The sequence below is a fragment of the Homo sapiens genome, chromosome 7 (assembly GCF_000001405.40).
Source record: "Homo sapiens chromosome 7, GRCh38.p14 Primary Assembly".
NCBI classification, from domain to species: Eukaryota; Metazoa; Chordata; class Mammalia; order Primates; family Hominidae; genus Homo; species Homo sapiens.
Window position 1 is genome coordinate 107262170 of NC_000007.14, and position 14828 is coordinate 107276997.

A 14828-nucleotide genomic window follows, 5' to 3' on the forward strand; every position below is an offset into this window, starting at 1 on the left:
CATGAGCCACCGCACCGGCCGTCCCTTTGATTCTAATTCCAATAATTCAGTAACCCCTTGAGACCTCCCAAATGTACCACCTTCTCATGCTATCTCACAGGAGTCCCTGATACCCACTTCTTTATTTCCTTCCTTTCTGGATTAGATTACGTGATTCATTAAAATCAATTTCAGCAGTGAGTGATATCTTCAGCAGTGAGTGGTATCTTGAAAGGAAATGGGATCCAGTGCAACTGTGGAGATACTGGCTTTAAACTGGGGCCTGGAGAGTTCATTAGTTTTCAGAGAGCAAGCGGGGCAGGGTATTAAGAATACATATATTCATGGTCACTTAGGAAAATTCTAGTCCTGGGTGAAACCAAGTCAATGCCTGAGTGTGAGAAGCTGAATGAGCTTCTCACTGGTTGGACTTTAAATCTATGATCACTAAACCAAGGTGGGTTCTTGGCGTTGCCTGTCAATACTGTTAAATATCCCATTCATGCTCCTAAGCCCCTAGGAGATTGTTCCTCACCTTCTCCTCATTTCTCTAATCTCCGACACCTCCTTCCCTCCTCCTTATTCTCAGTTGATGACTTTGCTGTATATTTCCCTGAAAAAATAGAAGCAATCAGAAAACTCCTGTTCCCAGAATGTCTGCCGTCCCTACTGCTTGCTAGCTGAGTGACTTGTAGCTTCAATTTCTTAATCTGTAACACGGAACTAATAATACAGTTTATACCAAAGTATGCTATGTAAACTGTAAAATGCCTTAAAAATGGTAATACCACATATTTCTATCTCCAGACAATTCTATGTCTTATTCAAATTTTCTTTTCACTTTTCCTTTGCTTGGTTCCTTCCCCCAACCTCTAGTCTATCTCAGTACTGGCTAGGGGCCAAAGGAACAGATTAGCATTTAGGAATGAGAACAAAACGCTAGTGAAGCTGCCTGGAGTTACAGAGTAGGTTTTGCTCCATTTGGGTTGTGGTAACAAAGTATCTTGTATAAAGTAGGCACCTCAACTACTTCATAATCCTCCACCCATCTTCAGCCACTTTAACCTTTACTATCTCAAGCCATTTCCTGTAAGCTCCTTAAAATTGCCATCACTAATTCATCTACATGTTCAGCAAGGCATCTCAAAGTAGAAGATGCTTATTACATATGGTTGTTTTTTCAAAGCCTATCTTATTTGAGATGAATAAAATTGTACCAAGGTGCAAAAATACAGCTTTGGCTGTAAAGCACTGAGAATGAGGGAACTAGAAAAGTGGGAGCAATAAGAGATTCAACATTGTAAAATAGGAGAAATGTACATACTGGTTAATCATGTTACACTATTCCAGTACAATCTGGAAAGATGTTAGAAACAAGAAGAGTTGCATTTGAGTTTATTTTTAAAACACACACACAAATACACACACACACGTGCAGACACACACAAGGAATGAGAGGGAATCCAAATGCTAAACAAATCCTTAAATAAAAATTAAAATAATTCTTATGTGCAAATGACAAGATACACTATTTTTTAAAATTTAATTATCTGAACAAAATATTCTTCAGAAATTCTAATTCTGTACATCTGCTCATTAGGAACAGCATGTGAATTCAATGTGTGAGAAACAACTGATGAGACTAGATAATTGAAACAATAAACTACATAGCTATAATAACATGAAGAATGTTTTTATATAACTGTTAATCTGCAGATGAAATGACCAAAATCTCCCTAATCATCATGCCTGAGGACTAAAAGTAAAAGAAATAAAACTGACAATTCAAGGGATGAGTTGGATGACAACTTTAAGTTTCTATTAAGAAAATCTAAGAATTATTTGTGGGGAGTTATAAAGTTGATGGCTCCGAAAAATGTCTAAAAAGAACAAAATAATATATTATAGATTACTTATAAATTACAAAAGGGTAAGTAAGTTACTTTCCAGATACTATGGAAACACTTCTAGTGGTCTATTTATGCCCACTCCCATGCATATAGAAGACATCAATAATCAATTGTGGCCCTGTTATGGTCTCTCAACATTGCACTCCAGGCAGTGACTACAAATCTCTAAGACTTGACCCAGGGCATAAAATCTATTAGCAATTCCCGATCTACATCACATCAGTTTTTTAGATATACAGTTCAATGATCCTCTAGTCACGAGATACTAAGGAGCAATATATTCCAAGAGCCTCAAAATTGCCATACCCTTATGTATGTAAGAAATATATTGTAAAAAAATTCCAGACAATGGAGCAGGCCACGGTGGCTCATACCTGTAATCCTAGCCCTTTGGAGACTGAGGCAGGAGGATCGCTTGAGCCCAGGAGTTTGAGACCAGCCTGGGTAACATGGCAAAACCCCATCTCTACAAAAAATACAAAAATTAGCCAGGTGTGGTGGTACGCGCCTGTAGGTCCCAGCTACTTGCGAGGCTAAGGTGTGAGGATGGTGTGAGCCCAAGAGGTGGAGATTGCAGTGAGTTAAGATCACACCACTGTACTCCAGCCCGAGCGACAGATCCAGATCCTGTCTCAAAACAACAACAAAAACCAAAAACGAACCCCAGAAAATGGATCATAAGAAAATAATAGAGAAAAGTTTATACACAAAGATTATATTTATAAAACTGAGAAATCATAAAACCCTACATGTCTAAGAATAAGGGAATGGTTGGGTCTATTAGGCAATTCACATGATGGAACAAACAATGAAAGGAGCTAAAGTGACACTGTGAACTGTAAAAAAAGAAAGCAGATATGTCTATGCAGCAGTTTGCTTTCACAAAAAGACTGGAAAAAAAAAGCAAAAATGTAAAGAAATAGTATGAAGCATTACATAAAGAGGAAGATTAGTAAAACACTAGTAAAAGGCACTGTGGAATTCCATAAAGTATCTAAAAGGTTTACTTGTAGAATATACTTAGAAATTGTTATACAATATAATTTCATAAATTATAAACATTAAAAGGATGCAATCTCTATCTCTGAAAGATTTAAGATAATACGACAAGATAAACTGCTTTGGTTATTGTTTACTTGACCAAAGGAAGGATTTGGGAAAAGATAATCTCATCAAGGTACTTTTTAATCTACCGATCTGTGACACAGACAAAAATAATTAATTTTTATTTTATTTTTTGAGGCAGGGTCTCCCTCTGTCACGCAGGCTGAAGTGCAGTGGCATGATCATGATTCACTGCAGCCTCGACCTCCTGATCAAGTGATCCTCCCATCTCAGCTTCCCGAGTAGCTGGGACCACAGGCATATACCACCATGGCCAGCTAATTTTTAAATTTTCTGTAGAGACAGGGTCCACTTTTTGCCCTCACTGGTCTCAAACTCTTGGGCTCAAGAAGTCACCTTTGGGATCTTCCAAAGATTACAGGTGTGAGCCACTGCACTCAGCCTTAATTTTTATTCATGTTTATTTTTCAAATGCTTTTATCATAGATTACCTGGTTCAGATTAAGGAATGTAAGACTTATGATTAAATATCACTTAGTTTATTATAACTTGTCAATTATCCTATAAAAATGTAAAATTATATGTTTAAATATGTATGTGCTCACAATTAAATTATCAAAGATCCTTCAGGCTAAATATAGTTTGTATAGGCTGGGCATGGTGGCTCACGCCTGTAATCCCAGCACTTTAGGAGGCTGAAGTGGGAGGATCGCTTGAGCTCAGAAGTTTGAGACCAACCTGAGCAACATAGTGAGACCCTGTCTCTACAAAAAATGAAAAAATTAGCTGGGCATAGTGGTTCTTGCCTATGGTCCCAGGTCCTCAGGAGGCTGAGGCAGGATTTTTTGACCCCAGGAGGTCAAGGCTGCAGTGAGCTGTGACTGTATCACTGCACTCCAGCCTGGGTGACAGACCCTGTCTCCAAATAATAATAACAACAATAATAATAATAATACACACACACGTGTGTGTGAGAGAGTTTGTAATACATTAGAAATTATACTTTATGTGGAATCCAGGGTTAGGGTATGTTTTTGAAAATGTATAATAAAGGACAAATCTGTAGGTTTACACAGGAATTTGTCACTTTCCCAGCACATCAATCTAACTAAATTTTGATAATAAATGAAACTAATTTTCTTGAGTGCTAAAACTATCAGAAAATATTTTCAAGAAAATATTCTCACAGCGTATGCCATACTTTTCTGGTTTCATAAATAAGATACACAGAACATGTACCTGAAGAAGGCAAATTCTACTTAGGTTAACCATTGTAAATGTTCACAAGTGTTTGAGCAGTGTTTTTATGCTGTTACATCTCTTCTCTGCTTTTAGTGACTTCATCCAAGCTTAGCAGGGTATATATAGCTGCATTCCCCTTCATTCATTAAACAAACTTAGATTACTACCTCTTTTGATATTTGGTGTTTCCTATTCTTCTTTAAATTTTGGTGATTTTACGAGTCCTTCCTAGGTTGTAAACTTTCTTGTTTAATAACTCGTAGGAATACGAGTTATTCCTAGGGTGTAAACTTTCTCTTTTTTGATCTTTTTTTGATACTCTTCCCTCATCTTGGTCTAACTTGCTTTGAAGTGGGAAACCAGAGGACTAACCATGTTAAAGCCGGGAGACTTTCCTATGAGTTATGTGTGTGTGCTTTAGTATATGGACACTGTAACATCAATCTAGCAGTTCAGAGAATGATTTCATTGCCTTCTTCATTCTTAGTTATCTCCTGGACTGTTAAATTTATCAAATATTTGACAATTTTAAAAAGAGGTTTTTTACTAGCTATTTACAAAATAAAGACAGGTATAATTGAACCACAGAACAGACTCAATGGTAATGTTGTATCTTAACATCAGGCTAAATCTTCACACAAATCTGTTATTAAAGAGATGACAGCTTGAGATGGGATCCAGTTTGAACAGTTAATATATAACCAAAAAGTAAGAAACAAAATCATGTCTTGTTTATGCATGAGAGATGAGCATGAACACCACACAGGAATAAAATACAGCTTTGTAACTCAAAACTCTGTTGCTCAAATACCACCAATTCCTACCACACAAAGCCCCTTTCTCAACCTAACTTTCTCATTAACCTTCTCTAGATTACCCATGCTCCTGTCAAAATCTCCACCTGGCAATACAGGGGATAAGAAACGCAAACACAATTTGCTAAGAATGAATCATCTAATCAAATCTATTATCCTCTCTAAGAGCTTTTATTTTTCCTGAAAGGATCTTAAGCTTTTGAACAGCAGATAGAATTTCTATCTACCCATGACCTAAACACTGGCCTTGTTAATTAAATTTAGAGTCATAAGTCTGCATATTTTTAATTATTTGAAAAAGAAAGAACTGTTCACTTTCAGGTATGCTGAGCTTTTCCCACTTTCCAATAATGAATACTGTAAGTAATTTATTAACAACTTAAACAATCCTTCATATCTACATGAAATGTACAGAATAAGGCTTCTTTGATTTATAGTAATTTGATTATAGTACAAACTAAACTTCAAACTACAGAATTTCAAAAAAGAATGACAGTTTATTACTTTGAGGGATACAGAATAACTAAAATCCCAGCTTCCTAGTATTAAGCCCTAATTAATCAATACAATTTAAAAAAAATAACTGGGGTAAGGGCCGGGCATGGTGGCTTACACCTATAATCCCAGCACTTTGGGAGGTTGAGGTGGGAGGATCACTTGAGGCCAGGAGTTCGAGACCAGCCTGAACAACATAGTGAGATCCCCACCTCTATTTTTAAAAAATAATTTTAAAAATGTAATTAAATCTATAATCTTACATGCATTATTACTTTTCGTAGTAAGAAATTCTTTTTGTTGTTTTTTTGAGACGGAGTTTCGCTCTTGTTGCCCAGGCTGAAGTGCAATGGCACAATCTCGGCTCACCGCAACCTCTGCCTCCCAGGTTCAAGCGATTCTCCTGCCTCAGCCTCCTTAGTAGCTGAGATTACAGGCATGCACCACCACGCCTGGCTAATTTTGTAGTTTTAGCACAGACGGGGTTTCTCCATCTTGGTCAGGCTGGTCTCAAACTCCCGAACTCAGGTGATCCGCCTGCCTCGGCCTCCCAAAGTGCAGGGATTACAGGCGTGAGCCACTGCACCTGGCCTAAGAAATTCTTTATATATAGTCCAACAATAATATTCAGTTCAGCTAAAGTCCTAATAATAAAAAAGTGTATTACTGAACTCCAAGTTAATTAGGTTCTTTCTGTATATTCGTTTTAATATTAATGTTTATAATGTAAAACCAGGAAAAAAGGTTCATTACCTGATCGAAAGCAGGAATTCAGTTTGCAAAACATGGCACTATATTCGTCATTCTATGATTGTGTTTGCCATAAATGGCTATAAGTGTTTGAGAAAGCATCTCAAGAGAAGTAGTTTTAAAGGATATAATTCCAGTGTGGCTTGACTGACCCTCTTCCCCACCACAGTCTCTCATTTTGATAGTGGATTTGTCCATTTCTCTCTATAATTCTATCCACTTGTGCTTTATTAGTCTGAGGCTGTCTTGTAAGGTGTATCATAATTCTTTACCTTCCTGTAAATTGTTCCTTTTCTCAATATGTGACCTTCACAATCCCTAATAATGTTTTTTGACTTAAGGTCTATTCTGTCTAATGTTAATATCGTTATGTCAGCATTCTTCTGATTAGTATTTGCCTGAAATATTTTTTCTCCATTCCTTTACTTTCATCCTTTATCTGTCCTTATATTTTAGGTATGTCACACGAAGCTGAATTCAGCCATTGATTCTATGCAAACTGAAAAATGTCAGTGGCCAGTTTAGTATATTTATATTTATTGTGATCAGTGATGTATATGTTGGAATTATTTTACTACCTTATTATAAACTTTCCCTTATTTGTCATGATTCAATTTTTGCTTCTTTTGTTTCTGTATATTTTTCAGCCTTTTACTCAACTGATAGTTTCCTTTTTTACCCTTTTCCATTAACTTAATTCTAAGTTATATATTCTATTTCTATTCTTTCAGTAGTCATAATTAAATTGTTAATATTATATTCAATTTAGGCCTGGCGCGGTGGCTCACGCCTGTAATCCCAGCACTTTGGGAGGCCGAGGCGGGGGGATCACGAGGTCACAAGATTGAGACCATCCTGGCTAACTCGGTGATACCCCGTCTCTACTAAAAATACAAAAAATTAGCCGGGTGTGGTGGCGGACGCCTGTAGTCCCAGCTACTCGGGAGGCTGAGGCAGGAGAATGGCATGAACCTGGGAGGTGGAGCTTGCAGTGAGCCGAGATCGTGCCACTGCACTCCAGCCTGGGCGACAGAGCAAGACTCCGTCTCAAAAAAAAAAAAAAAAATTATATTCAATTTAAGTGAATATATCTATGGCTTTACAATCCTTCTGAACAATGACATGCATTTTAAAATGCTTTAAAATCCATCACTCTTTCCTCATTTTATACCTTAATGTGGACTTGTATTTTAGTTCCATCTTACTTCTATGTTCCATATTAGTCACTATTATTTCTTATTTTATGCAATTAAAGATTAGATTTACCTATATGTTTATCAATGTTTTGTGCTTATTATTACTTATTATTACTTCCTGCATTCTAATCCTTCCTTTTTGCATTAGATTTCCTCCTTCTGCATTCAACCATTAAATAGCTTCCCTCTCATTCTGAGTGAAGGCCAAAGCCCTTACTATGGCCTGCTAGAGCTGGCAGGATCTAGGATTAAGGTTACATAGTTTCAAGGATGTCAGACTGGGTCACGAGGAATTCTGGAAAAGCAAGAGCATTTAATCAGTTTTAAGTCTGTCAGTATTCAAGAGTCCACGCTTATAAGCAAGAGGATCTGGGGTTGAAGGTATCACTTTATGGCGGTATAACCAAAGTCCAGAACACACAATGCTTCAGTAATTGCCAGGCTGCTACTGCCTTTTTAGGCACTTGGACTTGCCTCTTCAGTCCCATTCATTGTGATCACTCCCTCTGAATACTAATCAAATTATTCCTTCTTGTAAAATCTTGCATATGGTAAAAATTGAAACAGAACTGAAAGGCATAAAATTTTTCAAAAAGTTCTCTCTCCGGTTCTTAGCAAAGATAGTACTCACACGTGCTTTTTTTTTTTTTTTTTCTGAGACAGGACATCCTTCTATTACTCCGGCTGGAGTGCAGTGGCCATGATCTTGGTTCGCTACAGCCTCCACCTTCTGGGATCAAGTGATCCTTCCTGCCTCAGCTTCCCAAGTATCTGGGACATCAGATATGTGCCACCACATCCTGCTAATTTTGGTATTTTCAGTAGAGATGGGGTTTCGCATGTTGCCCAAGCTGGTCTTGAACTCCATGGCTCAAGCGATCCACCTGCCTTGGCCTCTCACAGTGCTGGGATTACAGGCGTGAGCCATGTCACCCAGCCTCACATATGTTTTGAATTACCAAAAGTGAACATAAAAAAATCTAGACCCAAGAAAAGAAAGATGTTATACACACACACACACACACCCCTTTACTCCTTCATTTTCTCCAAACTTCCAAAATATATACTACATTTAGTTTCGGTAATGTTATTTTAGGCAGTTGATGTTTAAACTGGAGAAAAGTGGCTGTTTGGTAAAATTAATTGTTTACTGTGAATTTGAATATACTGTGACTGTATATGTGTGGGACTGTTTCTCTTTCAATGTTCCATTTTTCTATACTTGTGCTAATATTTTATACTTCATTATCCTAACTAGAACTTTTTTTTTTTTTTTTTTTTTTTTTTTGTAGAGATGGGATCTCACTCAATTACCCAGGCTGGTCTCTAACTCCTGATCTCAAGTGATTCTCCCTCAGTTTGCTGGGATTTACAGGCGTGAGACACCACACCTGGCCTTTACTATAACTTTATAAGTCTTCTTATGTAGTAGAGCAAATCGCTCTGCATTGTTCCTCTTCTTAAAAAAGTGTCTTGATTGCCAGGTGTGGTAACTCATGCCTGAAATCTCAGCTACTGGGGAGGCTGAGGCAGAAAGATCCCTTGAGCTCACGAGTTCCAGGCTGCAGTGAGCAAGGATCACGACATTGCATCTAGCCTGGGCAACACAGCAAGACTCCATCCCTTGAAACAAGTGTCTTGGTTATTCTTGACACTTCTGCATTTCCATAAAAATTTAACAATCAATTGATCAAATTTTTTTAAAGTTAGAATTTTTATTGGAATTACATCAAATCTACAGATCAATTTCAGAAGAATCAACCCCCTTATAATACTGAGTCATCTAATACATGAATAGTATATATACCATCATTTAAAAAATTCTTCTTCAATTTCTTTCAACACAACTTATAGTTTTCAGTGTAAAGTCTTGCCCATATTTTGCCAAATTATTCCTAGAATTTGAAAATATCAAATTCTGGAATTTGATATTTTCTGCTGCCACTGTAAATAGCCTTTTATAAAGTAAATTCTATTTTCTGTTTGTAGCTGGTAGATAGAAATAGTTGGTTTTCAGTGATACCTTGTATACAATGATTTTACTAAAAATCATAATTCTAGAATATGCTTTTGGCTTTAATCATGTTCATTGGTTTTTTGTGTTTAATTTGATTGTTTTCTGCCTCATCTTTATTATTTCCTTCTTACTATTTATTATGGGTTTAATTTGCCCTTTTTTTTCCTCTTTTTAGTTTCTTAAGGTAATAGATCCTTGATTGAGATCTTTTTTCCTTCCCAATAAAAGTATTCAATGATTTGAATTTTGCTGAATTAGCTGCATCCTACAAATGCCAATAGATTTGTTCTATTTTCATTTTTATTTAGTTTGAAATATTTTTTTAAAATATTCCTCTTTGGCCTATAGATCATTTAAATGTTTGCTGTTTAACTTTGAAATACCTGGGGGATTTTCCAGGTATCTATCAGTTATTTGGGGAGGAAGAATCACAGGCCTCTTTAAAATCTATTAGAGCATTTTCCCAGAAAAATTCTGTGAAAGGAAAATAAATGTTGGGGCCCCCAAATCACTAAGCTAAAGGGAAGAGTCAAGCTGGGAACTGCTTATGACAAACCTGCCTCCCATTCTATTCAGAGTCACCCCTCTGCTCACTGAGATAAATGTATATCTGATTGTCTCCTTTGGAGAGGCTATTCAGAAACTCAAAAGAATGCAACGATTTATTTCTTATCTACCTGTGATCTGGAAGCCCCCTCCCCGCTTTGAGTTGTCCCACCTTTCCGGATGGAACCACTGTTCATCTTACATATGTTGATTGATGTCTCATGACTCCCTAAAATGTATAAAATCAAACTGTGCTCTGACCACCTTGGGCACGTGTCATCAGGACCTCCTGAGGCTGTGTCTCTGCAAGTCCTCAACCTTGGCAAAATAAACTTTCTAAATTAACTGAGACCTGTCTCAGATATACGGGGTTCACAATTTCAAAAATATTTTGAGAAATATTTTTGTTTTCATAAAACTTGCAAATGGAACTAAGTTTTATATGTTTTATAATTTCCTAGGATCTACAGATCCCCTAAACCCATTCCCATTGCTAGATTATCAATTCCTGCCCTAAGGTATTGAATATGCTAAGACTATCTAAGAGATAGAGAAAGAGAAAGAGGATTTTTCTTAATTCCCATTACAGCGAGAATCTTTCCATGTCACCATTTTTGCTTTTAGATATGTCTCAGAAAGTACTCTAAACTGGCACAACCTAATACTAGTGAGTTGAGTAAAAGCTGCTCAAAAGTGTGCTACATGTCTGATACAGCAAAGGATAATCAAAGACAATCCATAGCTTCTAAGATTCAAACAAGCTTGCTTATACTCAAATGCAGAGTTTTAGTTTGCATCCTAATTTTTAAAAGGAAGTCTTCTCCCTCATTCTGGGTTTGTGCCTAATACGTGTGTTCGGGGAGGGGTAGTTACAGTTGCCCCATTAATCATGCCTCCCTTCATACCATTACTACATGTCTCCAATTCAGAACCCTATCTACTGCTGGTAGCTGGTGTCACACTGGGATACTGCAGATGTAGTTCTTGAGCATGTTTTGGCCTTAGTTCCATTTGCAAGGCAATCTTGCTGTTTGTCACACTAGGTTGATACCTATAGTGGCCCTGGGCAGTAAATGCAGGTTTTCTTTCGATCTTATTATGAGTACAGGTATATCTTTAATGTGATATGTATTTGTATGTGGGTGTACGCTAGGAAGGAGGGTGCTCTGAGTAAACCACAGCCTAACCTTGATTAAATGTTGACACTTTTATCTCCCAGAAATATAATTTCAAATAGTGTAATTTTTAAGCACACATGAAGGAATTAAATTATAGTCCATACCTTGGAACAGGGTAAGATTAAAAGCTGTACTTGATCACTAATATGCTTCAACAGATATAAAAGCTCTATAGTGTTAGGACTTCCAATCCCAGTAAAAAATTGACTATGTAATTGACCAATCCTCTCAATGAGAACATCTGGAAAAACTAAATAACAAATTTCAAAAATCTTCCTGATGGTACTGAAGTGATAACATGGTAAGTAAAAAGTTATTCAATTGCTCAATTGAATTCAAGATTCAATTGCTCAATTTCTTTTCAAACTTCTAATACTAATATTTTCTAGGGTGGGTGTGGAGGATTCCATTTACTCAGAGACTAAAAAAACTTCATATTCTGGAATGAAGAAAAAAAATTTTTAAATGAGAAAGATAAAAAAATAGAAAAGGGAAAATGTTTGAATATTATATGCCTGTGGTAATGAAAAGAGGTTTAGGACAATAAAGATTAGAAAATGTGATAAGAGGTCAACATATATAATTTAAAAGCCATATAGGAAAAAGTCTTTTGATTTTTATAGTAATATTAGCATTAACTGAAATCATTAAGTAAATTACCATAGCAATGAATTTCTCTCTTCTTTGGCAATGAAGGTGGTGTCAAATGACATAAAATTTAACACAAACACACCATTAGGATTCAAGTAGGGAGCGTCCATCTTTGGGAATAAAAATAAAAGCTCAGCCAGGTGTGGTGGAGTTGCCTGTAGTCCCAGCTACTTGAGAGGCTGAGGCAGGAGGATTGCTTGAGCCTAGGAGTTTGGGGCTTTAGAGAACATTGGTTGCACCTGTGAATACGCCCTGCATAACAGTCTGGCAACATAGCGAAACCCTGTCTCTAAATATTAAAAATTAAAATTAAAAAAGTTCATGAGCTCTCTTTTTTCATTGTTGCATACTCTCAATTTGGCTTTATGATAGATGACATAATTCATCCCACTCTTCACCCCCTTTGTATCTTCATTCTTTGCTATTTAATTTTGCACTGTGGAGGGGTTGTTTTGGTGAGACTTACGGGAATATTTTCTCTCCTGTGCCCCGTCTTCACCATGAGATCAGGCCCAGGATAGGCTGCTGCAGGATTAGAGCTACGTATAATAGAGCAGAAGTTTTAATATGGTTAAGGCCAGCCTAGAACAGCAGCCAGCCAGTCTTGTGAGTAAACCCAGCCAACCTCAGAAAAGACACCTAGCTAGCACCCCATATGACCCGAGAAGCATGAGCAATAAATGCTTACTGCGTGTCACCCACGCCAACAGCGGTTGTTGGTTACACAGCATTCTTATGACAACATATAACTAATACAGACTTTGACCTGCTTTAACTAACAATTTCAAATTTTTTACCTTCTCTTGAAAATATTGTCATTGCTCTCTGTTTTCAATATGATCTACTGACTCTTAGTCCTGACAGTTCATCTAGTATTGACTTGCCACAGCCCCCAGAAAATCAAGCTCTTACAAGTCTGAGAAGCAAGTCAGAAAGCTATCTTTTTTTCTTCTGTTTTTGTAGACACAGGGTCTCACTATGTTGCCCCAGCTAGTCTTGGACTACTGGGCTCAAAGCAATCCTTCTGTCTCGAACTCTCAAAGTGCTAGGATTATAGGTATAGCCAGTGTGTCAGGCCAGAAAGCTGTCTTGAAGAAAGGATGAAGTAATCCTAAAATAGTCCAACGTAAGAAGAGAGGTAACAAAAAGTGCCAGGCTATCTAAAGGATCAAGAGGGCCAGGCGCAGTGGCTCACTTTGGGAGGCCGAGGTGGGAGGTTGCTTGAGGCCAAGAGTTCAAGACCAACCTGGCCAAAATAGTGAGAACCCCATCTCTTAAAAAAAAAAAAAAGGATCAAGAGGCTAGCTAGGTAACCTAAAGGGATTGGTGTGTTTGTATCACAGAGAAAGTGCGTTTGGTCAAAAAGACACTACTGATTTGTTTCATCTGTTTGCACATAATATAAAAACTCTTCCAAGTGATTTCATATTGCCTTTGATCTTTTTTTTTTTGCATATTAACAACATAAGCTATTACCATATAATAATATATGGGGTGATAATCCATGTAGATGGCATTAAAATCTCCATTAAATAATACTTTTATTTATTTAATTATTTTGAGATGGAGTCTTGGTCTGTCGCCCAGGCTTGAGTGCAGTGGTGCAAGCTAAGCTCACTGCAACCTCCGCCTCCTGGGTTCATGCGATTCTCCTGGCGCGCCACCACACCTGACTAATTTTTGTACTTTTAGTAGAGATGAGGTTTCACCATTTTGGTCAGGCTGGTCTTGAACTTCTGACCTGAGGTGATCTGCCCACCTCAGCCTCTCAAAGTGCTGGGATTATAGGCATGAGCCACCATACCTGGCCAATACTTTTAGAACTTAAAAAAAAAAAATTGAACTCATATTTGAGCTCATATGTCTCTATACCATTTAAATATCACACATGTATGTTTTTTTCCATCATAGGAATGTCAAGTCTCCAACTTATAAAATTATATAAAGAATAAAGTGTATATTTACAAAGCCTTAAAATAAAACCTTAGTGTCTAGAACTATTGACCTCATACATAGCTACTGATCTGCATTGAAGTTGAGACCTCCCCTTAAATGTCATTCCTATTATTGTTTCAAATGGTCTGCAACCTGATTAAATGCCAATCTCCTTTCTCACAGTTCATAACATTTGCCATTTACACTAAGATTCTAGATGCCATTCCCTGGAACCATCAAATAATGGTTACTGTTGGAAAATACCCTTCAGTTTTTAAAAGGGATACTTATTAATATATTTGCCTCCAAAGTTGATATCAAAAAAGTTTACAAGCCTATAAATTTTAAAGGTGCCACAACAGTTCCCTTATGTACTAATATTTTAGTTTTCTTTTAACACACAGAGGATAAGAAAAACACTAATTCAAACTTTCCATTGTGGCTAGGTACAGTGGCTCACACCTGTAATCCCAGTACTTCAGAAGGCCAAGGCTATGGATCATTTGAGCCCAGGAGTTCGAGACCAGCCTGAGTAATGTGGCGAGACCCTCCATCGCTACAAAAAATAAGAAAATTAGCTAGGCATGCTGGCATGCCCAGAGGCTGAAGCGGGAGGATACCTTGAGCCTGGGAGGCAGAGGTTGCAATGAGCCATGATCATGCCACTGTACTTCAGGCTGGCCAACAGAGTGAGACCATCTCAAAAACAAACAAAAAACCCCAAACTTTCCACTGTAAGGTCTAGTGACCTTTTCTTCTAAAGGTCACATTTCAGACTATACAAACAAATCCCCAATATATCACCATTAAATAATTTGTTCAGTTTAATCATAAAATATTATGATATTACACCTATAGGTATATGTGTATTTGAAACATAAAATTCTTAGTAAATTAATTATAACCTCACAATTGCTGTCAAGACAAACAAGAATTTTTAAATGAAAATCTAAAAAACCTTGATCTCAGTTTTACAAAAGAGCATCTAGAAAGCTGATATTCACATGACCCATACTAAGTTAAACACATATTGCAGGAACTAAAGCCTA

At 37.1% G+C, this 14828-nt stretch overlaps 1 protein-coding gene across 10 annotated transcripts in view; it reads right to left on the bottom strand.

Annotated features, from left to right (window-relative positions):
• COG5 (component of oligomeric golgi complex 5) overlaps positions 1-14828 on the bottom strand; it is a 362549-nt gene that overhangs the window by 60798 nt on the left and 286923 nt on the right. Inside the window, exon 15 of one of the 10 annotated variants that reach the window (XM_024446634.2) lies at positions 515-592. The exons of the other annotated variants lie outside the window; for them this stretch is intronic. Within the exon in view, the coding sequence (XP_024302402.2) occupies positions 530-592 (63 nt within the window). The 3' untranslated portion in view covers positions 515-529. The remainder of the gene's footprint in view (positions 1-514; positions 593-14828) is intronic. 10 annotated transcript variants of the gene reach the window in all.